The sequence below is a fragment of the Homo sapiens genome, chromosome 11 (genome assembly GCF_000001405.40).
Source record: "Homo sapiens chromosome 11, GRCh38.p14 Primary Assembly".
In the NCBI taxonomy this organism is placed as follows: Eukaryota; Metazoa; Chordata; class Mammalia; order Primates; family Hominidae; genus Homo; species Homo sapiens.
Genome location: NC_000011.10, coordinates 130,154,501 through 130,178,703, shown reverse-complemented (window position 1 = coordinate 130,178,703; position 24,203 = coordinate 130,154,501). Strand labels below are relative to the sequence as shown.

General features: G+C 49.8%; 1 protein-coding gene across 1 annotated transcript in view, besides 3 other annotated features; it reads right to left on the bottom strand.

Moving 5' to 3' along the window:
* Positions 1–18,922, bottom strand: part of ST14 (ST14 transmembrane serine protease matriptase) — a 50,581-nt gene extending 31,659 nt beyond the window's left edge. The window contains exon 1 of the mRNA NM_021978.4: positions 18,644–18,922. Coding sequence (NP_068813.1) covers positions 18,644–18,724 — 81 coding nt within the window. The 5' untranslated portion in view covers positions 18,725–18,922. The remainder of the gene's footprint in view (positions 1–18,643) is intronic.
* Positions 17,187–17,686: an enhancer, noted in NCBI's record as "H3K4me1 hESC enhancer chr11:130030913-130031412 (GRCh37/hg19 assembly coordinates)". NCBI's record gives its function as "activates a minimal SCP1, AML or CMV promoter by ChIP-STARR-seq in naive H9 embryonic stem cells {active_cell/tissue: H9 hESC(naive)}" and the evidence as "EXISTENCE:reporter gene assay evidence [ECO:0000049][PMID:30033119]".
* Positions 18,774–18,843: a silencer, noted in NCBI's record as "silent region_4079". NCBI's record gives its function as "represses an Ori minimal core promoter by ATAC-STARR-seq in GM12878 lymphoblastoid cells {active_cell/tissue: GM12878}" and the evidence as "EXISTENCE:reporter gene assay evidence [ECO:0000049][PMID:35858748]".
* Positions 18,924–19,043: a silencer, noted in NCBI's record as "silent region_4078". NCBI's record gives its function as "represses an Ori minimal core promoter by ATAC-STARR-seq in GM12878 lymphoblastoid cells {active_cell/tissue: GM12878}" and the evidence as "EXISTENCE:reporter gene assay evidence [ECO:0000049][PMID:35858748]".

Sequence of the window (24,203 nt, the reverse complement as noted above, 5' to 3'; positions counted from 1 at the left end):
CCATCAGGGGAACACAAAGCTGACCCACGGCCAAGAACTCCCACTGAAGGAAGTAAACCACAAGTCCCCACACCTGGTTACAGCCTGAAGGAAAGTCCCCCAGGACCTGACTCAGCCCAGCTGTGAGGACGTTGTCAACACAGAAACCCAGCGGTTCTCTGCCAGGGAGCAGCCAGCTCCTGCAGGTTTCAAGTCCCGTCCCAACTCCCAGCACTGCCCAGGGCCCTCCCCACGCAGCCCAAGGGACCAGGAGCCTTGTACAGAGCACCCTTGACATAAGTAACGCCATCTTAGAAAAAGACTTCATCTTAAAAAGAGCAGGACTTCGGCACCTCAAGATGCCCTCTTCACTGACACCATTTTGCTGTCATTCGTGATAAGCACCCAGCATCTGCCAACGAAGGCTCTGCCAACATCAGAAACTCTTCCCGGCAAGACCGACAAATGACCCAGCTCACACCAGGAGACTCTTTTTATCTTCGTGGCTCTTCCTGGACTGGTTTGTTAAACCCTTTTTCCTATCCCCTTTCTCTTGATGTTAAATGTTACTTTGATGTGGAATGTTTATACTTTTATATATTGGTTAAGAATATTATTATGTATAGTTTGCAATATTGACTGGAGTGGTTTGAGCCTGTGTGCCTGAGGCTCTGACTACGGAGTGAACAGGAAGTACTAAGGAGAGCTGTCTCTTTGGGAACTCCATGCGGCTCGCGCCTTGTGTGATTGAAGTCACATCAATAAGTCTGACCTTGTGGAAAGACACAAAGGTGCATGGACCCGGTTAGGACCTCGCACCGCTCATGAGAATTGGCACAGTCAGCTTACTGGGCATAGGTGGTATAGTCGATGCTAAGGCGAAAGCCTCCACTAAAACTTAAATTAGAAATCAAGCCGTTTGAAAAAACAAACTGCCACCCTCTTCAAAAAGAGACGTCATCTCACTTCACCTTGAAAGTCTAGCTCCCTGAGGAAAACCTCAGGTGATGAGGTTCTTTACCCAGGTCCTGTAGCTCCAAGAGCTGACAAGGTCTCGGCTGATGCCAGGCTAGGAAGCTAGTGGGGCCAGAAAGGCTCATAGCAAGCATGGTCTCAACTTAGGAGATGGCAGTTGGCAAAACAAAAAAATTTTTTGTTTTTGAGACGGAGTTTCGCTCTTGTCGCCCAGGCTGGAGTGCAATGGCGCCATATCGGCTCACCACAACCTCCACCTCCCAGGTTCAAGCGGTTCTCCTGCCTCAGCCTCCCGAGTAGCTGGGATTACAGGCACCTGCCACCGCACCTGGCTAATTTTTGTATTTTTAGTACAGACAGGGTTTCACCATGTTTGCCAGGATGGTCTTGATCTCTTGAACTCGTGATCTGCCCACCTCAGCCTCCCAAAGTGCTGGGATTACAGGCGTGAGCCACCGCGCCCGGCCTAAAAACAAATTTTTAACTCGGCTGAAAGAAGAGGAAGCCAATTATTGCATAACCCCTACTCATCCGGTTGGCTAAGGTGGGAAATCGAACCATTGCCCAAATAGAGTTGGAAGTCAGAAAGACTCCCTGTATGACCCCCTGAGGATGTACAGTCAGACTTGAGGACCCTAAAAATGTTAAGCCCCGCCAGGCACGGTGGCTCATGCCTGTAATCCCAGCACTCTGGGAGGCCAAGGCAGGTGGATCACGAGGTCAGGAGATCGAGATCATCTTGGCTAACACGGTGAAATCCCATCCCTACTAAAAATACAAAAAATTAGCCAGGTGCGGTAGTATGGGCCTGTAGTCCCAGCTACTCAGGAGGCTGAAGCAGGAGAATCACTAGAACCCAGGAGGCAGAGGTTGCAGTGAACCGAGATCATGCCACTGCACTCCAGCCTGGGTGACAGAGTGAGACTCCGTCTCAAAAAAAAAAAAAAAAAAAAAAAAAAAAGTTAAGCCCTAAAAGAAAAAATCCCTGTACTTTTAATGCAAAGTATCTCACAGATCGCCAGACAGGCAAAGAGCCAGCTCAAGGAATTTTAAGGAAAAGTAGGTCGGGTGCGGTGGCTCAAGCCTGTAATCCCAGCACTTTGGGAGGCCGAGGCAGGCGGATCATGAGGTCAGGAGATCGAGACTATCCTGGCTAACAGGGTGAAACCCCATCTCTACTAAAAATACAAAAAATTAGCTGGGTGTGGTGGTGGGCACCTGTAGTCCCAGCTACTCGGGAGGCTGAGGCAGGAGAACGGTGTGAACCCGGGAAGTGGAGCTTGCAGTGAGCCGAGATTGCGCCACGGCACTCCAGCCTGGGCAACACAGCGAGACTCTGTCTGAAAAAAGAAAAAGAAAAGAAAAAGAAAAAAAAAAAAGGAAAAGTAAATCCCTGTCAGGGGTAACTTTTAAGGAGGAACCCCTGGGACCAAGGGAACCCCCTGCAGAGAACTTAGGACATTACAATGACCCTTGGGGTGGGTATATACAGCAAGACCTATAATAACTAGAAAAAGAGGTACCAATGATAACTATGAGAATCACAGTCCTCAGGACACCAGTGAGGACGGAGACTACACCACAGCAGAGTTACTGAAACTGAGAACAGATTTTTGCCAAAGACAGAGCACAGATGCAGACTGGCCCCTACATCTGTGGGAGAATGCAGCAGACACCACGGCACTATCAGGCACAGAAACGCATTGCATCCCTACACGAGCAGGAAACTGTCATGAGCTATTATAAAACTACCAAACCATAAACCATTAGAACCACAAATCAGCCAAGGCTGGATGTGGTGGCTCACGCCTGTAATTTCAGTACTTTGGGAGGCTGAGGCAGGTGGATCACCTGAGGTCAGGAGTTTGAAACCAGCCTGGCCAACATGATGAAACTCCGTCTCTACTAAAAATACAAAATTAGCTGGATGTGGTGGCACACGCCTGTAGTCCCAGCTACTCGGGAGGCTGAGACAGGAGAATCGCTTGAACCCAGGGGGTGGAGGTTGCAGTGAGCCGAGATCGCACCATTGCACTCCAGCCTGGGCAAGAAAGAGTGAGACTCCAGGCCAGGTGTGGTGGCTCACGCCTGTAATCCCACCAGCATTTTGGGAGGCCAAGGTGGGCAGATCACCTGAGGTCAGGAGTTTGAGACCAGCCTGACCAACATGGAGAAACCCCGTCTCTACTAAAAATACAAAAAATTAGCCGGGCATGGTGGCACATGCCTGTAATCCCAGCTACTCGGGAGGCTGAGGTGGGAGAATCACTTGAACCTGGGAGACGGAGGTTGGGATGAGCCGAGATTGCGCCATTGCACTCCAGCCTGGGCAACAAGAACAAAACTCCATCTCAAAAACAAAAAGAAAGAGAGAGAGAGAAAGAGAGAGAGGAAAAGAAAAGAAAAGAGTGATATTCCATTTCAAAAACAAAAAAACAAAAAAAAACCCACCAATCAGCCAAGATATGTTCTAGCCCTCTGGGACTGGATCACATCAGCCTGGAGATCTGTCCACCCATATTCAGACCCAACAAAATCTGGAGACGGACTTGAAAAAATCTAACACAAGGACAAACGAATCCAAGAAAATCAGCTATCTTAGGGATGGCACGTGATAGATATAATGAATTTGCCATTCCGCTTGAAATTCCAGTCATAAATGAAATTCAGAGAACACTTCTGTTAGGAGTACCACCTAACCTGCAGTTCTCCTACATGAATGCTCTCTCGGCATGCAGAGCCATGCAAGATATACTAGACGCGTAATTATCAGGTACCCATAAGGTAACATTTATGGCAAAACCTGAAAAACATACCAAGAGAAAGGGGATAGGAAAAAGGGCTAATGAACCAGTCCAGGGAGAGCCACGAAGACAAAAAAAGTCTGGGCTGGGCTAGGCTGGCTGGTTCATCAGTCTTTCAGGGAAGAGTCTGTAATGTGGGCAGAGCCTTTGGCAGTGGATGTTGGGTGCTTATCACCAGTGACAGCAGAGGGTGAACTGCCAAAGTCCTGCTCTTTTTATGGCCACAGAGTCCTCTGGTGAGGACTGACAGTGGAGGAGGATGCTTGTCTGTTTGTTTGCAGTCTTTAAATTTATCAAGCAAAACACCTTGTCCTTGTGGGCAAAGTGCCCTATGAAATGGAAGATGAAGTCTTTTTCTAAGATGGAGTTACTTATGTCAAGGGTGGCTCTATACGGGGAGTTGGTAATAACTGCCACCCCCACCCCCACCCCACACCCACACACCTCACCCCCAGGAGAAGCAGCAGAGGGCCCAGGAGAGCAACACTGGATTTGGAGTCAGATAGATTTGGGTTCAAAATTCAGCTCTGCCACACTTTCAGCTATCTGGGTTTTTGATAAATTTTCCTCTCTTAACCCTTTTTTCATCTGAAAATGAAGCCTAGCGGCTGTAAGAATTGGACGTGATATTTCTTGAAGACACCTACATGGCACAAAGATGTCCAAAAATAATGAGTGTATTTGCTGTGGCCACCGCCTCCCTCACCTGGCTGTGGGCCCCCAGGAGGAGGGATGGGACAATCCCTTGGGAGACCTCAGAGGTGGAAAAGCAGCTCCTGGGGCTGCAGCCTGTGGGCAGACTCCCTCCTCCTGCTGCTGTGGGTCTGTCCGTGGTTTTGAATCCCTAACTTGTCTTAAAGAATGATCCAGAGGCCCTCTGTGTCCTGCTCCTGCTTCAAGCCAATTGTTTCATTATTTTCAGGCTCTGCAAAAAAAGTATTTGAAACAAGGTTTTCATTGTCTTAAAAAATGTTTTTGGAAACTACCAGAAGCTTTATGTGTAAGCTGAGGCCCAGAGCATGCTGCGACCTGGCCAGCACTCTCTGGTCTTGTGGGGTAAACCACCCATGGGTGCAAGTGGGTAGGGACACCCTGGCTGGCCTTCTGCTCTCTCCCAGAGAAAGTGGACAGAGGGGTTACAGAGAAGCGGGACAGCAGCAGAGCCCTCCTGGAGCCATGGGTCGGGACAGAGTGACAAGGGCGGGTAGATGTGGGCCAGCCAAGGATTGGCTCCTGGGATCCTGGAAAGACCTGCCAGGTCGCTCCTCACTAAGGCCCACACTACAGACTTGTGCTGTTAAGGTCTTTCATTTTTTTTGTTGGAGGGTGTTTGATTTTTTTTTTTTTTTTGAGACAGAGTCTCGCTCTGTCACGCAGTCTGGAGTGCAGTGGCACCATCTTAGCTCACCACAACCTCCGCCTCCCAGGTTCTAGTGATTCTCCTGCCTCAGCCTCCCGAGTAGCTGGGACTACAGGCGCCCGCCACCACACCTGGCTAATTTTTGTATTTTTAGCAGAGACAGGATTTCGCCATTTGGCCAGGCTGGTCTCGACTCCTGACCTCAGGTGATCTGCTCTCCTCGGCCTCCCAAAGTACTGGGATTACAGGCATGAGCCACCGCGCCCAGCCTTTCAGTTTGTTTTGAAGTTTGAATCTGAACTTCAGCTGCTCCACCAGACCAGAGGGAGGAATTGGGCTGCCTGGCTTTTGGCAGATGGATAAACAGTGGGTGGAGAAATTAAAATCAAAGAGAGACAGTAGGTAGGCCTCAGTCATTAGCAGGAATTAGCTAATTATGTTCTATTTGGAAGGCCGTAAGTGGTTATTAACCCACTTTTAAGAGGGGGAAAACTGAGGCACAGAGAAAAGTATTTGCCCCAGCAGCTCAGGGCTCTCAGTCCTGACCACTCGCGTGGTGACGCCACACCCTCCCCTGCACCAGCTCCCCAGAAAGGAAAGAAGAGAGTTGTGTCAGGCAGTCCTCACTGAAGCTGGTTCTTTGCCCTCCTATAGGGTCCCACTGCAGATGCGTGAGGCTCGTACACAGCACCCTTGACATAAATAACTCCATCCTAGAAAAAGACCTCATCTTATGTTTCACTTTGTCAACAGGGACAAGATGTTTTGCAAATAAATAAACACGGCATCCAGCCAGACAAGGACATACACACTCCTCCACTGTCTGTCCTCAGTAGAGGACTCTGTGGCCATAGGAAGAGGACAGCAATGGCCGGGCGCGGTGGTTCACGCCTGTAGTCCCAGCACTTTGGGAGGCTGAGGCGGGCGGATCACGAGATTAGGAGATCAAGACCATCCTGGCTAACACGGTGAAACCCCGTCTCTACTAAAAATACAAAAAATTAGCCGGGTATGGTGGTGGGCACCTGTAGTCCCAGCTACTGGGGAGGCTGAGGCAGGAGAAAGGCGTGAACCTGGGAGGCAGAGCTTGCAGTGAGCCGAGATCGCACCACTGCACTCCAGCCTGGGTGGCAGACTGAGACTCTGTCTCAAAAAAAAAAAAAAAAAAAAAAAAGAAGACAGCCAGGCACAGTGGCTCATGCCTGGAATCCCAGCACTTTGGCAGGCTGAGGTGGGAGGATTGCTTGAGCCCTGGAGTTTGAGACAAGCCTGGGCAATGCAGAGAGACCCCCATCTCTACAAAAATTTTTTAAAAAAATTAGCTTAGCATGGTGGCACAGCTACTCAGCGGGCTGAGGTGGGAGGATCACTTGAGCCTGGGATGTCAAGGCTGCAGTGAGCTGTGATCACGCCACTGCACTCCAGCTTGGGCAACAGAGCGAGACCCTGTCTCAAAAAAAAAAGCAACCAAAAGAAACAAAAAAACAAAACAAGAGAAAAGAGCAAGACTTCAGCAGCTTGAAATGGCTGTCTTAATTGACACTATCTTGCTGTCACTCATGATAAGCACCTAGCATCTGCCAGCGAAGCCTCTGCCAACATCAGAAACTCTTCCCCACGAAACCGACAGACTGCCCAGGCCAGGGCAGGAGGGTCTTGTTGTCTTCGTGGCTCTCCCTGGACTGGTTCATTAACCCTTTTTCCTAACCCCTTTCTCTTGATGATAAATGTTACTTTGATGTGGGATGTTTAATCTATACATTTATATATTAAGTATATGATTATGTATGGCTTGCAATGTTGACTGACTTGTGGAGTGGCTTCAGCCTGTGTGCCCGAGGCTCTGCCTCCTGAGTGAACAGGAAGTACTAAGGAGAATTGTCTTTTTGGGAACTCCATGTGGCTAGTGGTGTTTATGATTGAAATTGCATCAATAAAAGTCTGACCTTGTGGAAAGACACAAACGTGCGGGGACCTGGTTATCTTTGATCTTGCACCACTCAAGAGACCCCCCCAATATTGCAGAAAAGCGAACTGAAGCCCAGAGAGATCATGCTCTGCAGATCCAGCGAGCCCACTTCTGAGTATTTATCCAAAGGAAGGAATTGAAACCAGGATCTGAAGAGAGAGCTGCATCCTATGCTCACTGCAGCACTGTTCACAGAAGCCAAGATGTGGGAACAAACTAAGCATTTTCCTTAGCAAATGAATGGATACACAAAAGGTGGTCCATACCTTCAATAAGAGATCTTGTATTAAGTGTTCTTATCACAAAATAGTAATTATTATTATAAATAAATAGAATAATAGATAAAGAGGGCAGGAGGAAACTTTGGAAGGTGATGGATATTTTGCAGCCTAACTTATGGGATGGTATCACTGGTGTTTCCATACATCCACACTCATCAGGTTGTACACATTAAATAGAAACAAAAGAAACAAAAAACAAGAGAAAAGAGCAGGATGTCAGTAGCTTGAAATGGCTGTCTTAATTGACACTATCTTGCTGTCATTCGTGATAAGCACAACAGCAGTATCATCTGTGGATCTTATTCAGATTTCCCGTTTCACTGCTACTCATGTGAATATTAAGTTCCATTCTATGTCATTGCTAGCACAGGCCCCTGTCTGTAATGTCACAAAAAGGTACAGCTTTTTGCATATCAATCATACCTCAATAAAGTAGTCTAAATCAATAAATACAGTGTTGATTTCAAAAACAAAAAAAAAAGGAACACTCTGCAAAACTCTATCTACTACAAAACCCACTTCTTGGGCCCAAGAGACGGGCCCCTGCTGTGCCCACCACTGTATATGGGTCGTCACTCCTTTAACATTGGTCTAAGGGCACTGGCTCCCTCAACTCTGACGTTGGCTCTAGCCAGAAAGGCCCCCAAGCCTGTTAGGAACCAAGAGGTTCCTAACCTCTCGGTTAGGAACCCATCTGCCTGCTCGGAATGGCTGGGCTCCCCTACCGCCTACCGAACCTGCCTGCCCTCCAGCACACAGGCCAAAGCTGAGCCTTGCCAGGAATCCTCCCGGGACCACAACAAGCCACCGTACTTTCTCCCTGGGGCCTCACCTCTTCCCCAACCTGCACCATGCTGGGTGGACCAGGAAGTCCTGGCTGGTCACAGTGCCCCGGTTTCCTCTTCCTACTGCCTCTCTCCCTCCCCCTCCACCCTCAACCTTGCCCAGAGTTAGCACTTGATTGACTAATTGATGGGTTGATGGAAGGTCTTCTCTCCCCATAGCCAGACTTAGGCAGCCTCCCCAGGGCAGGCTGGAATAATCTGCCAGTTGCCAAGTGCCCTCAACCAAGAAGGGGAAAAAATACTCAGTCCACACCTCAGGGCTCTGCTGACAGTCCCCCAGGCTCTCTGGGGTCAGACCTGGCCTGGCCACCCACTGTCCTCAGGCCCCATTTAAAGTTCGACTTTGCCGGATCTCTCCTGGTCCTCAGTTCAGTGTGTCGCCCCCAAAACACACACACCAGGACATAACCTCTTTTGCCAATTCTAGCCGGAAAATTCCATCTCTGCCTCTTCGATCCCATTTAGTTTGCACCAGCCCTCTCCTTATGTGCCAAAGACCTACTTCCCGGCCCAGCTGCCCCACCTTCCTCCTGCCCCAAGTCACCGGACTCAGAGCAGAAGCATCTGCCTGCAGCAGCACAAACAGGCAGATCCCCCAAAACCCGACAAGAGAAACAAGAGGTGCAGCCAGCACCTAGTAACTTCTTTTCATTCGTTTTCTTGACTTTTTATTAAATCCACATTCTGATTTCACGAGCTAGTGTGCCTTTCATTACTGACATTTTTATGGAGATACTTGTAGATTCCCATACAGTTGTAGGAAATCATACTGAGATCCTTGCCCAGTTTCTCCCAATAGTCACACCTCATAAAACTGTATCATAATACCACAACAGCAGTATCATCCGCGGATCTTATTCAGACTTCCCGTTTCACCGCTACTCACGTTAAGTATTAAGTTCCATCTATGTCATCGCTAGCGTAGTCCCCTGTCTCTGGCATCACAGTCAACATTCTGAACAGCTCCAACACGAGGATGCCCATGGCCTTCTGTAACCACAGCCACCTCCCTCCTGTCCCCCACCCCTTCAGCTCCACAATCGCTAATCTGTCCTCTACTACTAACATGGTGTCATTTCAAAAATTATGTTATATAGGCCAGGCGTGGTGGCTCATGCCTGTAATCCCAGCACTTTGGAAGGCCAAGGCGGGTGGATCACCTGAGGTCAGGATTTCAAGACCAGTCTGGCCAACATGGCGAAACCCTGTCTCTACTAAAAATACAAAAATTAGCTGGGTGTGGTGGCACACACCTGTAGTCCCAGCTACTCGGGAGGCTGAGGCAGGAGAATCGCTTGAACCAGGGAGGCGGAGGTTGCAGTGAGCCCAGATCACACCGCTGTACTCCAGCCTGGGACAGAGCAGGACTCTGTCTCAAAAAAAAAAAAAAAAAAAAAACCCATTATATTATATAAATAAATAATATGGTATGTATGGGACTGTTGGCTTTTTTTTTAACTGCACAAAATTCCCTGGAGGTCTTTCAAGTTGTTGCATCCATCAGCTTGTTCCTTTTCAGTGCTGAGTCATATTTCATGGCATGGAGGTGCCACAGTCTGTTTCTGACTTGGTGGACCCAGGGATCTGCAGAAGCTAGTGGGAAAAACCCAAGCCTGCCTGCAGCCTCTAGAACTGGGTAAGTTCTAAAACACGCTTCCATGGCTACAAATCTGAGCACCTGTTTTGGGGAAAGGACCAACTATGCAAACAGAGGGGCCCCACCCCCAGGGGAGGGCACCAGGAAGTCTGTGTCCTCTATTAGAACCAGACTCTATCCTGGGGGAATAGGATACAAGCGAGGGGAGAACTGCTGGATCTACCCTTGAAATTGGATTCTCAGAGCCGAGACAGATTCTGCAGGGCATGTCACCCACCTCTCATCCTCGCGAGACCATCCTTTTGGAAGAAATAGCATTTTCCTTAGTACGAGTATTAGGAAGCTCTTCCTTCCACCAAGTGTGATCAGCACTGCAATCACCTCTGCACTAATTAGCACTGCAACAGAACCAGCCTAGTTTCCCCACTCAGGAGACGCTCCAGTGGAAGCTCTACATCGGTGCTCGTGTGCTCTCTCAGTCTGCACCTCCTCTGGCTAAACATGCTCAACTCCTCTGATCATTCAAACAAAATGTTTTCTAAACCCTGGCCATCTGGTTCCATCTCACCCTTAGTCATCTTCCCTTGAAGACACCGTTTCCAGAATTCACCAGCATAACCCACAAGAGGTCTGACTAGCGTGGCCTCCACAGGGTCTGCTTGCCAATTACCTTCCTCATTCTGTTTGCTCTTTTTCTATTAATTGTCCAATGATGCATTCAAGTAACACACCCAAACAATAAAACGATTAAAATAAGAAGATGGAAAGAATGATATGTTCCCTCGATGAAAGCTTATAAGGCAATCAAAAATCGTTTTTCAAAAAGTAGATAATGACATGGAAAAGCTATCTAAGATAGAATGTTAAATGAAAAAAATAGGCTGGGCACGGTGGCTCATGCCTGCAATCCCAGCACTTTGGGAGTTCAAGGCAGGTAGACCACTCGAGGCCAGGATTCAAGACCAGCCTGGCCCATATGGTGAAACCGCCATCTCTACTAAAAATACAAAAATTAGCCTGGCGCAGTGGCGCACACCTGTAATTCCAGCTGCTTGGAAGGCTGAGGCAGGAGAATTGCTCAAACCCGGGAGGCAGAGGTTGCAGTGAGCCGAGATCGCGCCACTGCACTCCAGCCTAGGCGACAGAGCAAGACCCTATCTCAGAAAAAAAAAAAATAGTCACTCCTGCCCTTCGAAATTCAGCTCAGGCATCTCCTTGGAGTAATTCTGGGAGATCCCTCTCCAACACCTCCCTCCCAGACTCCTGTGATAGGGGAGGGAAGGGGGTCTGTCTTGCTCCACAAATCTAGCATGAGGTATGATATCTAATAAATGTTTGATAAGTTCATTAATAAAATCATATCTTTACTGCAGAGTGGAATTAGTGATGATTCCATTTGGAGGAGAATAGGTGTGCACACAAACAGCAGAACACACACACAAGACTTGTGGGAGAATATAAACAAAACTATTTATAGAGGCTCTAAAATCTGGGAGAGGGAATTTCAGAAGTTTCACATTTTACACTGTACATTTCTATATTGTGTGACTTCAAAAAGAAAAGCTTCCTAAATGTGGTAATGAGGAAAAAAATTTTTTTAGAAAACATGCATAGGCAATACCAAATTGTTAAAATGTCTTTGTAGGGGTATTTGTGTCATTTTTATTAAAAAAAATTTTTTTTGAGACAGAGTCTCGCTCTGTCACCCAGGCTGGAGTGCAATGGCACGATCTCGGCTCACTGCAACCTCCACCTCCCAGGTTCAAGTGATTCTCCTCTCTCAGTCTCCTGAGTAGCTAGGATTACAGGTGCCCACCGCCATGCCTGGCTAATTTTTGGATTTTTAGTGGAGATGGGGTTTCACCATGTTGGCCAGGCTAGTCTTGAACTCCTGACCTCAAGTGATCCATCGGCCCTGGCCTCTCAAAGTGCTGGGATTACAGGCATGAACCACCGCACCCGGCCTCATTTTTAAATTCTTACTACTTATCTGAGTTGGCTAAGTTTTCTTTAAATATGTATATATTAGACTTTTAATAATAACTTTAAAAGGTATAACCAAATAAAAACATAGGGGGAAGAAAGCACACTTCGACTTTGGGCAGTCACACTTCCATGCCTGATCTCTCCTGGGCTCACTGTCAACTCAGAACTCTGGGTCTCGTGGTTTCTGCTCCATGGTTGAGGGAGGTGGTTCAGTGAGCAAAGCACTGACTCCTGACCCAGACGGATGCATTCTGCTCAGCGCAGCCTATCAGACAGTCTGTCCAGATGCTCTGACTCATAATCAAGTCATACAAGGTATCAGCCTTTCCCTCCCAGCTGGTGTCATCTGTGGAGCTGGTAGGCAAATGCCCCAAGTCCTCATCTGAGCTGTTACTAAATAAGAAATGGCACAGAACCCAGGAAGGGGTGACGAGCAGCCTGAGGTCACCACCCAAAGTGACGTGGATTCAAGAACAGACCCCCCCTTAGGCACAGCCTTTCAATCAGACACAAGCCTACCAGAACTTCGATCCTCCAACACCCAGGGCTCCACACCCAGCAGACAGGAGGCCAATAAAACACCTTGTCCAGGATACAAGTGGTGTGTGCACAACAACCAACTAGACACATTGAACCATAGACAGCAAGGAGGGGAAAGAGGCGTGAAAAGTGATTTGTTGGCAGAGGTGGGTGAATTGGTTTTCATTTTAAAACTTCCGCCATAATTTTTAATCATATGTATAATACATAAAGCTGTGTCTATGTAAAGCATGTTGAAATCACAACTCCAGCTGTGCTCCTGGTCCACCAGCTAAGGAACCTCATCAAAAGGGGAAACCAGACAAGCTGGTCTATGATGTTTGTAGCACACCAGCACTGGCACCGGGTGATCACCACTTCCTTCTTATGTGCTCACAGCTCTCTGGTGAATAACATGTTCTAGCAGTTTGCTGGGGATATGCAACCTTCACCATCATCTCAGGAACACAATTTTATAATGGCATGGTGGTGAGCTCCCAGGCTCTGAAGTTGCGTAGATCTGAGTTTGAATTCTTACTCTACTTCTTACTGCCTTTACACAAACCCTTTGAGCCTCAGTATTCTCGTCTGTGAACTGGGCATTCTTTCCCCCACACAGCTGTTGTGAGGATAAAGTGAGGTCAGGAATTGAAGTGCAGATATTTAGTGAAAGGTAGAAATAACTGTCATCACATTCTTCTCCACCCTTTCAACATCGCCACCACCATCATCATCCCCACCACCACCTCAGCATCACCAACGTGGGCCAAAAAGAGTCAAAGGATCCAAGATTTTGATCAGTTAGCCAACTATCACAGGATTCGGGGGAAAATCCCAAAATATTGCTAAGTCCAGGCAGAATAGGGAAATTTTGAAAATATGAGCATCTGAGACAGAATTTTTAGCAGGGAGCTGCTTCTGGAAAGATTCTTAACAAAGCAAAAAGGGCAACTACTACCCATGAGCTCTGAGCAAACCCCAAACACACTTCTCACCACTGCCAACCAGGCCAGGCTAAGAACTCTGAGAATTCTGTAAGTTTCTATTCCCATCCTACCAAATGGTTTCTATAATTTAGTCCCAGGCATCTCAGAAACAACCTGAGAAGAGAAATCCAGTTTCTTACCCAAATCTGATGAATTGTCAACCTTTAGTATTCCATCCCCTCCTGAACCCTGTGGGCTGACAGCCCTGTTCCGCATGTCACAGCCCACATAGGATATGACAGGGCCAGACTACCTGGGCTCCAATCTAGATTCCGCCACTATTTTGCTCTGCGACCTCAGGCAAGTTACTTAGCCTCCATGTGCTCCATTTTCCTCACCTATAAAAAGGTAATAACAATAAGGCTGGGCCGGGCGTGGTGGCTCACACCTGTAATCCCAGCACTTTGGGAGGCCGAGGTGGGCAGATCACCTGATCTCAGGAGTTTGAGACCAGCCTGACCAACATGGAGAAACCCCATCTCTACTAAAAATACAACATTAGCCGTGCATGGTGGTGCATGCCTGTAATCCCAGCTACTCGGGAGGCTGAGGCAGGAGAATCGCTTGAATCCAGGAGGCGGAGGTTGTGGTGAGCTGAGATCACACCATTGCACTCCAGCTGGGCAAAAAGAGCGAAACTCCATCTCAAAATAATAATAATAATAATAATAATAATAATAATAAGGCTGGGTGTGGGGGCTCACACTTGTAGTCCCAGCACTTTTGGAGGCTGAGGTGGGCAGATCACTTGAGCCCAGGAGTTCAAGACCAGCTTGGGCAACATAGCAAGACCCTGCCTCTACAAAAAATACAAAAATTAGTCAGGCGTGCTGGTGCCCACCTGTAGTCCCAGCTACTGAGAAAGCTGAGGCAGGAGGATTGCTTGAGCCGGGAGGTCAAAGTGGCAGTGAGCCATGATTGCACCATTGCACTCCAGCCTGGGTGACAGAGGGAGACCCTGTCTAAAAAAAAAAAAAAACAGTAATAACAACACTTGTCTCTGAGAAGGGTAATACTTGGTCTCAAAGACTAGTAAGACCACATCTTACTTCCCTTCAGCCATGCCTGACCCAGGACTAGGTACACAGTTAGTTCAATGAAGCTTGGCAGGAAAAAAGACAAGCAGCCAGCCATGCTCAATAAATGCTAACGATTATTAGTGTTCATCATTATTAGTATTCTAGACACTCCAGTAATCATTGCACAATATCAGAAGCAACATCATCTTCAGGACCTGGGCTCCCAGGGGACTCTGTCACGTTTCCCTTCCTCTTCCAAAGACAACTTCTCTTTTAAAAGAGACATGAGCCACCAGCCTTGGCAGAACCACAGACCAGAGAAGGAGCAGACATCAGGGAACTTGAGGGCCACAGTGTTCCGAGGGACAGAAGCCACTGGCCACAGCAGTAGGCAGTCTGGTAGTCTGGTTCCCAGGGAGCAGAGTGAGGGTCAGGTAGGGGGAGGGAGCTGTGACTCGTTCTCCTTCCGCAGCCGGTGACAACGTGGCAACAGGCCAGCAAGTCGGCTCGAGCAGGTCCACCCTCTGACCATTTCCACTGCTAGCAGGCGAAGGCAGCCATCAAACTAGGGGCATCTTCTCCTCTTCCTCAGTTTTCTCAACTCCTAAACGAGGAATTTCCAGGTGTTCTCAGGACCAAGGCAGAGGGAAGGCTCCAGAAAGCCCCTGGAGAAGGCAGATTTCCGGTCCACTCCAGCAGCTGAAGCCCCACCTACAGGACAATCCTAGCTTCCTGCTGCTTTCTGCCTTCCCAACCCTCTTCCTCACCCACTGCACACACCTGCCCAGCACATGCTCTAGAGAACAAAAAAGGCAGTTCTCTAAAGTTTTATGTGGGCACAGTGGCTCACGCCTGTAATCCCAACTACTTAGAAGTCTGAGACAAGGAGGATCGATCACCTGGGCCCAAGAGTTTGAGTCCAGCCTGGGCAACATAGCAAGACCCCCATGTCTAAAAAACAAAACAAAATAAAAGTTTAATTTTCTATGGTGGGAGGGGCAGGGGATGAGAAGGAGAAAGGGATATGCAGCTGGCACACATTTTCTTTTCATAGAAAGATATTTCTCCTAGAAGCTGGGTAAAGCAGGGGAATGAAAATCAGAAGGTCTTAGGAAGAGGTCTCTGTTGCTGGCGAGCAGTTCCTTGAATCCTGGGGGCACTTCCCTGTGTTTGGCAGGGCAGGATGGCTCCTCTGTGAGGTCAGGGCCCCACTGACAGCCTGGGTTCTCAGCCTCTCGACAGGCGACCTACTGATACTATACGATCTTCTTGCTTGTCTCAAGTCCCTTTCAACTCAAAAACTCAAGCTGCATCATTTGAACACCACACTGCAACTTACAAAGGGCTTTCATGTAAAGTACCCCTCTTAATCCTTTCAACAAACCTGGAACATATATGTCATCACCATTTTATAGCCACAGAAACCAAGGCTTAGAGATATTGAGTAACATCTCTGAGATCACGTGGCTAGACAAGGCGGCCCCGGGTCTTGGCTGCATGTTACCTCCTGCCACCACATCACAGATGCCTGCAGCCCTAATTTGCTGACCTGGCCCTTCCAGCCTGGGTTAGAGAGATGCCATGTGCTCACCCAGTGCATATCGAGAAGCTAGTACTCATGAGTCAGAATTCAGTTCCCTGTACCCCACACTACCTTGGGTGGTCCCAAGGACAGGGGCTGTGAGTCTAGGGTCTTCCTCACTGCTATTTCCCAGCACCTGGCACAGGCTCAGTCAGTGGGTTACCTAGCAGATATTGTTATGTGAATGAATGCCTGAATGGTTGACAAATTAACAAGCAGGTGACCCTCTGAATAGCCAGAGGTGTACACCCTGGCCCCTAGACATCTGATTTTGGCCACACAACATCCGATTTTTCCAAACTTGGTCTCTGGATGCCTAAGGGATGCTGAGTCTTACCTAGGGCAATTGTGATCGGAAAAGGAACCAGTGGATGTCAAGGCAGCTTCATATTCACCATCAAATACTCAACAGGAATCAAGACCCTCAGGGAGGCAGGCTCCCTGGCTCTCATTAATGGCCATAAGAAGTGGCATCTGTTTCCCTGCTTGCTTGCAGGCAGGGCTCACACCATCCCCAGATGCAGTAACGTGCATCAGGACTCTGAAGGCCACGCAGAACACTTGATGGGAACAGCAGGGGTGGGGCAGGGGCCACACCACCAGCCTTGGGAAGGGGACAGCCAGATACAAATACCACCAAACAAGGGTGCACGGATGGATGCAACTGGGGACAAGGAACCCAGAAACAACAGCACCCTGTGGGCCAGGCTCTGCTGACCCAGATAATAAACCCAGGGGCAGCAGCCACACCTCCCGGCCGGGGATGGACATCCTAGCTGCAAACACACACTACAGGGTGATCCCAGGGACTGGGATTTCTGGTGAGGCCAGGGATGGGAGGAATCTGCAAGACATGGAAATGAGCTTTGGCCAATTTCCTCTGGACACTCCGCCTCACAGCTAACTTTGGCATTCGTCTCTTAGTTTCGCTCTCAAGACTGGATGTTCTTTAAAGGAAACAACCACATCTTACTGGTCTCTGAGAGCCTTCCCTTCACCCATGGGACTAGGTACTGAGTTAGTTCAATAAAGCTCGGCAGGAGAAAAGACAAAGAGCAAGCCAAGAGAATGAAAATGGCAGAGGGGGAAGGAACAGCCCAAGGGCGCAGAGAGCAAATGAGCTTCGCAGAGGAGGAGGAAATGAGCAGGGATGGGGGAAACTAAAGCCAGGGCTTGCAGGTGACAAGACAAGTCCGCTGAATGTGGGATCCTGGGGGTGAGTGGAAGGTGAGCCCCAGCCTGGCTGCTTGTCAGGTGGTGAGATGGCTCAGAGAGGAGGCTGGACCACACGACCAGGAAGACCCTGCTTTCCCCGTGTGGGCAGGAGAGTCCTAGAAAGGGAAGTCAGGGAGAACAAACTTGGGGTGGGGGCACCGGACTGCCCTGAAATAACAAATTCCAAACAGCAGGTTCTCTGCTGAAGAGGCAGGGAGTCTAGAACCCCAAGTAGGCAATTAGCAAGGACACAAACATAGCAATTACAGCAAGGAAGAGAAGGTGAATCTGCCTCACAGCAGGGCACAGGCACAGCCAGGGGAAGGGCCCAAGCCTTCAGGTCCACTGGAAGCTTTCCTCCTTGCTGAGGGTGAAAAGTGGAGAAAATAGCAGAGCCCAGCCCCAGGTCCTGTCTGTGGTGCAGGCAGCCTCCAAAGCCCCAGCGTCTGATTTTCTGCAAGCTCCCTAGGTCGGGATGCTGCTTGGACAAAAGGAATTGATCTGAGACAGCACCAAAATCAGGCCTGACTTAGGGAGCAACGGCGGAGACTATGGAGCCCAGGGGCACCCGGAAGGAGGGGAGAAAGTGAGGGTTGGCAGGGCAGGGAGGCCATCATTTGCAGAGGAGCAAAACTCTCTGCCACACAGCCCCTGCCTCTCAGCGCCGCCCTGACCTGGTATGCCCTGGCCTTCCAGGAAACCTGGGGGTCTGCCTTGGACAGAGAGGGTAGAGACCTGGCTGCTGGTCCCGCCCGGGCACTACCACCTAGGTGGGTCCGTCAATGAAGTGACTAGCGACCCATCCCCAACTCCATACAGGAACATGTAATCTTTTTGAGATCTTTCAATAGGTCTTTCATTGTTCTTTCTGCCAAAGAAGAGCTTCCTGTTTCGGTACTTCGCAAAAGGCTCAAGACATGTGTGTTCCCACATCCCTTCCCATACAGCCGCCTTCCCAAAGGGCTCCATCCCCTCTCGAGAAGCCCAGGCAAGCCCAACTCTGGAGTTCTTAGCTCCAGCCCGTATGGCAGCCAAAGCCCTGGCCTCCCAGTTGTCCTCTGCGAGGTCCCAAAGCGCCTTTTGACGGGGAAGGAGAGAGACGAAAGAAACTTTCTGCAGAGGCCAAGGATGGCTGAGACTCCAAACCCTCCTGAAATTTCACTTCCTCCCAAATAACCCCACTCCAAGCCCCTGGTTTCTTCCAGATGTTCACTAACAGCGCGAGAGTCATGGAGGGGCCGAGACGGAGCCCCTTTTTTCAACTCAGGGAAAGAAAGGACCGAGGGCGCAGGAAGGCCCAGGGGCTTCCCGCCTCCCCCTGGCGGGGCGCAGCCGGTCCGGTACCAAAGGTCCGGCCAGCCCCGCCCGCCCGCGGCCCGGCACCCGCTGAACAGGAAATTCCACCTGTGCGCCCAGAGCTCGGCCACCGACGGACACGCCAGGGGAGCCGGCCGAGCCCAGCGCCGCGCTGCAGGGTCGGGCGGGCAGGAGCTTCCCAGCGCCCCGGGTCCCCGGCCCGCGCTCACCTCGTGCCGGGAGTTGTACTTGAGTCCCGCGCCGAAGTCCTTCGGGCCCCCTCCGCCCTTGCGGGCCCGATCGCTCCCCATGGTCCCCGAGGCCGCTCGCGGGTCTCACAGGCGTCGTCCCTGCCGGCGGCCGGCTCCCATGGCCCGCAGGGCGCGGGGCGCGGGGCGCAGGCGGCGGGATTCCGGGCAGGCCCAGCGCGCCCGACCGGCGGCGGTGCCCTCGCCCTGGCGCGCTCTCTCTCCCTCTTCCTCTTTCTCCGGCTGCAGCTCCGCTCTCACACTCCGGCCCGGCCCACGCAGGTAGTTTCAGGGTGTGGCCTCGGCCCGCCCAGCCCGCCGCGCTCGCCTGCGCACCTGCCCGGCTCACCTGCCCGCCCCCGCCGGCCCTGGGGGAGGCTCCTCCCCTCGGCTCTGGGCCTGAAGGTGAGGGGGCCTCACTCGGGTGGTGGTCGCTAAGGCCCTCACCATCACCACGACGGCGTTCACCACCCCTCCGGCCCTCCAGGGGCCCTGCCCCGGGAGGGCAGCCCTTTATCCACCTCCTTGATGCCAACCATCTTTTCCCTCCTCCCTCATGCGCCTCCGGTCTCTCCCCTTCACCTTGCTCACTTTGCTACAGGACTAAATCGCATTTATGAACCCCCCAAAACCAAACAGAAACCAGAACCGCCCCTGGCCCAGGCTCCCCGTCGGCTACGCAGCCTCCTGTTCTCCAGGCGGGAGGCGCTTGCTGGCCTGCGCCCGGCTACCCTGGGGAGGCCCAGTGACATGAGCTGTGCCACCAGATGCCCTCTGAGCCATCCCAACGCCCCTCGCCCACTTGCAGCATCTGATGCTTCCTCAAATGCCCCCTTTCCCTGGATTCCGGTCCTCCTTTCTAGTCCTAAATGTCATGATTCCCAAAGTTCTCCCTTCAGTTTCATCCCTTTCTTCTCTAAGCTTTTTCTCTTGGCAGCACGTCTCATCTTACGACTTCAGACAGGAAGACCTCCCTCCCAGCACAGACACCACCAAGGAGTGCCAGTTCTGCCTTAGCGGTCGCCTGGGGACGTCTCCATTTATGTTCTACTGTATTCTGTAGCCAATGAACATTACCAAGCACACACTAGGCGCTAAGCACTGTCCTGGGTACAGGGAAACAGGAGTGAACAAAATAAAAATCCCTGCTTTGAGATCAACAAGCCCCATCTTCCTTCCCTGACTTGCCCATTTTCCACTGTTTTCTCTAATTCTAATGGCAGCATTCTCCCAGGCTCAAATCCTGGAATCATCTTTGATTCTCCACCCTGCTTACATCTCATATCCAATTAGTTCCAAATCTGATCAAGACTCTGCTGACAAGCATAGCCCTTCCATTCCTGCGCATTAGAAGACCGCTATTCGAGTCCTCAGAGCCCTTTGCCTGGTTAAGAAAGATCTCCTGCCTCTGGGCTGCCACCCTCTGATCTCTCCTACACAAAGCAGTCAGGTAAATCTGAAACCACAGCTCCTTTATGACTTTCCGTGTCTCCCGGATCAAATCCAACCTCCTTAGCCCAGCTTCACACTCTGCCCTGTCCTCCCTTAACACCGTGCCTCCAAGCATTCCTGTTTGGAGCCCCTCTCTCCAGCCAGGCGTTCTGATCTTGGCAGCTTTCATAAAGCTTTTCATCCCCTGGAAGCTCTTCTCCTTCATACTCCTTCCGCATATTGGGTCGAAGACACCGATGGGGTTTTTTAGTGTTGTTCATTGAATGTTTTTAGCTCTCTGCCTTCTGGGCACAGGCCAGGGTGTTACTCTCTCTTCTCTGAAGTTAGGTATGGCAGTATGGCTAGCGGTAACCAAGAAAATGTCCAATGAGAGGACACACCACTTGTACATAGCAGCATAAGGAGGCACTGCACAATGCCCTGCTCTCTTCTGAGAGGTTTAACTCTGTGACCTGTGACCCTAAGTGGCTACAATGACACACACTGGATATGTAGCATGAATGAGGAGTCAGTCAGCTTTTGGGATGTTAAGCCACCGAGAGCTGAGGGTTGTTTGTTATTGCTGCAAACCTCACGCTTCCTGACTGATATGCTACCTCCTCCCCAGGAGTTTCCTTCCCTCTCAACCAGAACTAGCTCTGTTTGTACCTCTCTCATGGAGCTCACCACCATTTCGTTGCATTTTCTGTCTGTGTCTTAACTGCCTTTGCACCCTCAAAGCCTAGCACAATGACTAACACAATATATTGGGTCAATTTAATTGAAAGAAGAATGAATCTGCTGCCTTCCATCACATAAAGCATTCCAAAGCTAAACAGAAAATATTTCTAAAAGGCTGGCACGTTGGCTTCCAGCACTTTGGGAGGCTGAGGTGGGTGGATCACCTGAGGTCAGGAGTTTGAAATCAGCCTAGCCAACATATAGTGAAACACCATCTCTACTAAAAATACAAAAATTAGCTGGACATGGTGGTGCATGCCTGTGGTCCCAGCTACTTGGGAAGCTGAGGCAGGAGAATTGCTTGAACCTGGGAAGTGGAGGTTGCAGTGAGCCGGGATCATGCCACTACACTCCAGCCTGGAGCGAGACTCCATCTCTCAAAAAAAAAAAAAAAAAAAGAAAAGAAAAAAAAGAAAAAGAAAATATATAAAAATAAATTTTCCTTTGGATTACCAATGGCACAGCATTCTTCAACTAGTGTGAGTGATGGAAAGTAAGCCAAATTCAATGTGACGTAAATGAGATGGTACTCCTGACACACAGACCTTCTGTGCTGCTGCAAACGCAGTGACTCACGTTGTCTCCCCACTTCCTAGGGCCTCATCTTTTATCTCGTAGAGCTGGGCGCTCAGCGTGATTTGGATGCCGTATGAATGCAATGCATTGACTGCTAGTGCAGATGAAGAGAAAGCGATGCAGGACAAGACCCTTCCCCTAGGATGGCTGCATGGGGATACCTTGCTGCATGCACCCTATGTGCACTCCTGGGTTGGAGGAGGCAGTGTAACCATATGTTATTCCATGAATCCCATTTGGTTTAATCCTCAAAAAATTATGAAATGTCAGTGCTTTTGTTCCTAAATGGTAAGTGAAGGAACCCAAGAGCAGACAGCCTCCAGAACAGGACCAGATTCTCACACTCACAAGGAACAAATCCAACTCAAGCCCAGATTTTGGCTTGAGGTCCGTGTCATTTCTCTGCTATAGAAAGAGTGACTCATGACCAAATGACCCAACCTTCACCACCCACTGTGCCTTCTCCACCACCCCCTCACTGGCCCTTCCCCGGCCCCAGCACTGCAAAGCTGTCATCGCTCCTCTCCAGGGAGCCATCCTCTTCCTGGTTCCAGGACTGCCTGCTGGGAAAGTTACATCTGTGTCCCTGGGACCCCCTCAAGGGCATGTCCAACAAGCCCCTATGTCCTTGTGGCCGGGACCACTTAGAAGGTGTGCAAATGTGGACCTGCCCACAGGCTAAAGGACACTGGCTGAAGCTGGTGACAATGTGGGAGACAGTAGGGCCATGTGAGGTAGGCCCAGCCCAAGTGTGAAACAGCCAGTGCTCTGGTACCATCCAAGGCGGGGAGACCAGAGCAGCTTGTGCCAGGCCTGCAGGCGACTCATGCTCCTTCAATAAAGAAGAAAAGTGCAAACAGCAAAGAGGTGTGGTAGAGGTTGAGAATGAACAGAATAAAGTCAAATGAACCGGTTATGGAGCTGGCATCCATAAATGTACCTAAACCTTCTGAAACAACAAGGTTTATATGAATTCGACACCTAGAACCACTTCTGCTTTTGTCTTGGCACAGCCCTCATGCTTCCCTGTCAAACATGCTTCATGGGGAAAATGCACTTTCTAAACGCCAGGTGTTTAGTATCCTTGAGGTAATGCTGCTTTTTCCTGCACGGTCCTTCCCACCCCATCCCCGATGACTTGGCCCCTTCCCCTTAGTGAGATCCAAATTCAGCTAAAGTTTCAAAGTGAATATGATTAACTTTCCCCAGAATTTAATAACTAATCTCTTCCGTCACTTAGGACTTATGGTATAGTGTATTTTGATCTTCCTGATACACATAAGAGCACTGAAAATGCTGTTTGGAGACAGTGAGCGAGGACAGTCTGTGGAGCTGATCAGTGTCCGTCAAGTAAGCTGTCTGCTACTGGGTCTCTTCACCGAGTTTAGAAACAAAAGCATACCATAATTTCTTTTTTTTATTTTATTTTCTTTTCTTTCTTTTTTTTTTTTTTTTTGAGACAGAGTTTTGCTCTTGTCACCCAGGCTAGAGTGTAATGGCACAATCTCGGATCTCGGCTCACTGCAACCTCCACCCAGGTTCAAGTGATTCTCCTGCCTCAGCCTTCCAAGTAGCTGGGATCACAGGTGCGTGCCACCACTCCCAGATAATTTTTGTATTTTTAGTAGAGATGGGGTTTCTCCATGTTGGCCAGGCTGGTCTTGAACTCCTGACCTCAGGTGATCCACCCGCCTTGGCCTCCCAAAGTGCTGGGATTACAGGTATGACCCACCACGCCCGGCCAGCATATCATAATTTCATGAGGATTAAACCAAATGGGTCTGATGTGATAGTTGATGGCTACGCTTCCTCCTGGCTCCTGCACTTCCATGAGCTGGTGCGGCACAGCGGTCCTAGGGGGAAGGGCTTGGCCTCTGCGTGGCTTCCTCTTCATCTGAATTTGCAGCTGATGCATTGCATATGGATAGCATTCAAATGCCAGCACTGAGCACTTCTGTGGGCAAGATGCTCATTCAGCTCTGAGATGAAAGACGACGCTCTAGCAGGCCAGGCTCTGTGGCAGGCACCTGTGGTTCCAGCTGCTCGGGAGGCTGAGGCAGGAAGATCTCTGAGCCCTGGAGTTCGAGGCCTCAGTGAGCTGTGATCACACCTGTGAATAGCCACTGTATTCCAGCCTGGGCAACATAAGTGAGACCCCATCTCTAAACAAAAGATGATGTTCTAGGAATATAGGGGAGAAGATGACCCCTCCTTTTGCAGCAGCAGAGCGGGTTTGTGTGCCACAAACACCCATTTGTTTATGCTACTCTGGATCCAGCTATCTTAGCAAAGGGCTTCCTCATCCATTTAGTCAACCAGTTCTAGAAGACATCACTGACCTCTCCTTTCCTTATCCCACCCACCCACAAACAACAAACACACAAACAAATCACCAATCAGTTGGTTCTACCTTTAAAACATGTTTGGAACCTGTCTAATTCTCCTTTTCCCTCCTGCTGTGTCCCTATTCCACGCCACCATCATCTCTCCTGTGGGCTACACACAGCCCTGCAAGCTCTCCTTCCTCTCTGCTCCACTCTAGGCCTTGTGGTTACAGAGAATGGTTTCCTCTCCAGGCGCAAAACTCCTGAAGGCATGGACCAGTGTCTGTTAGCATCCCCAGCATGCACTCAACCAGTCTTTGTTAAATTATTCAAAGACCACATGAATAAGGAAAAATGCAAGTAAATGTTTTCACAATTTTTTTTTTTTTGAGACGGAGTTTCGCTCTTGTTGCCCAAGCTGGAGTGCAATGGTGCAATCTCAGCTCACTGCAACTTCTGCCTCCCAGGTT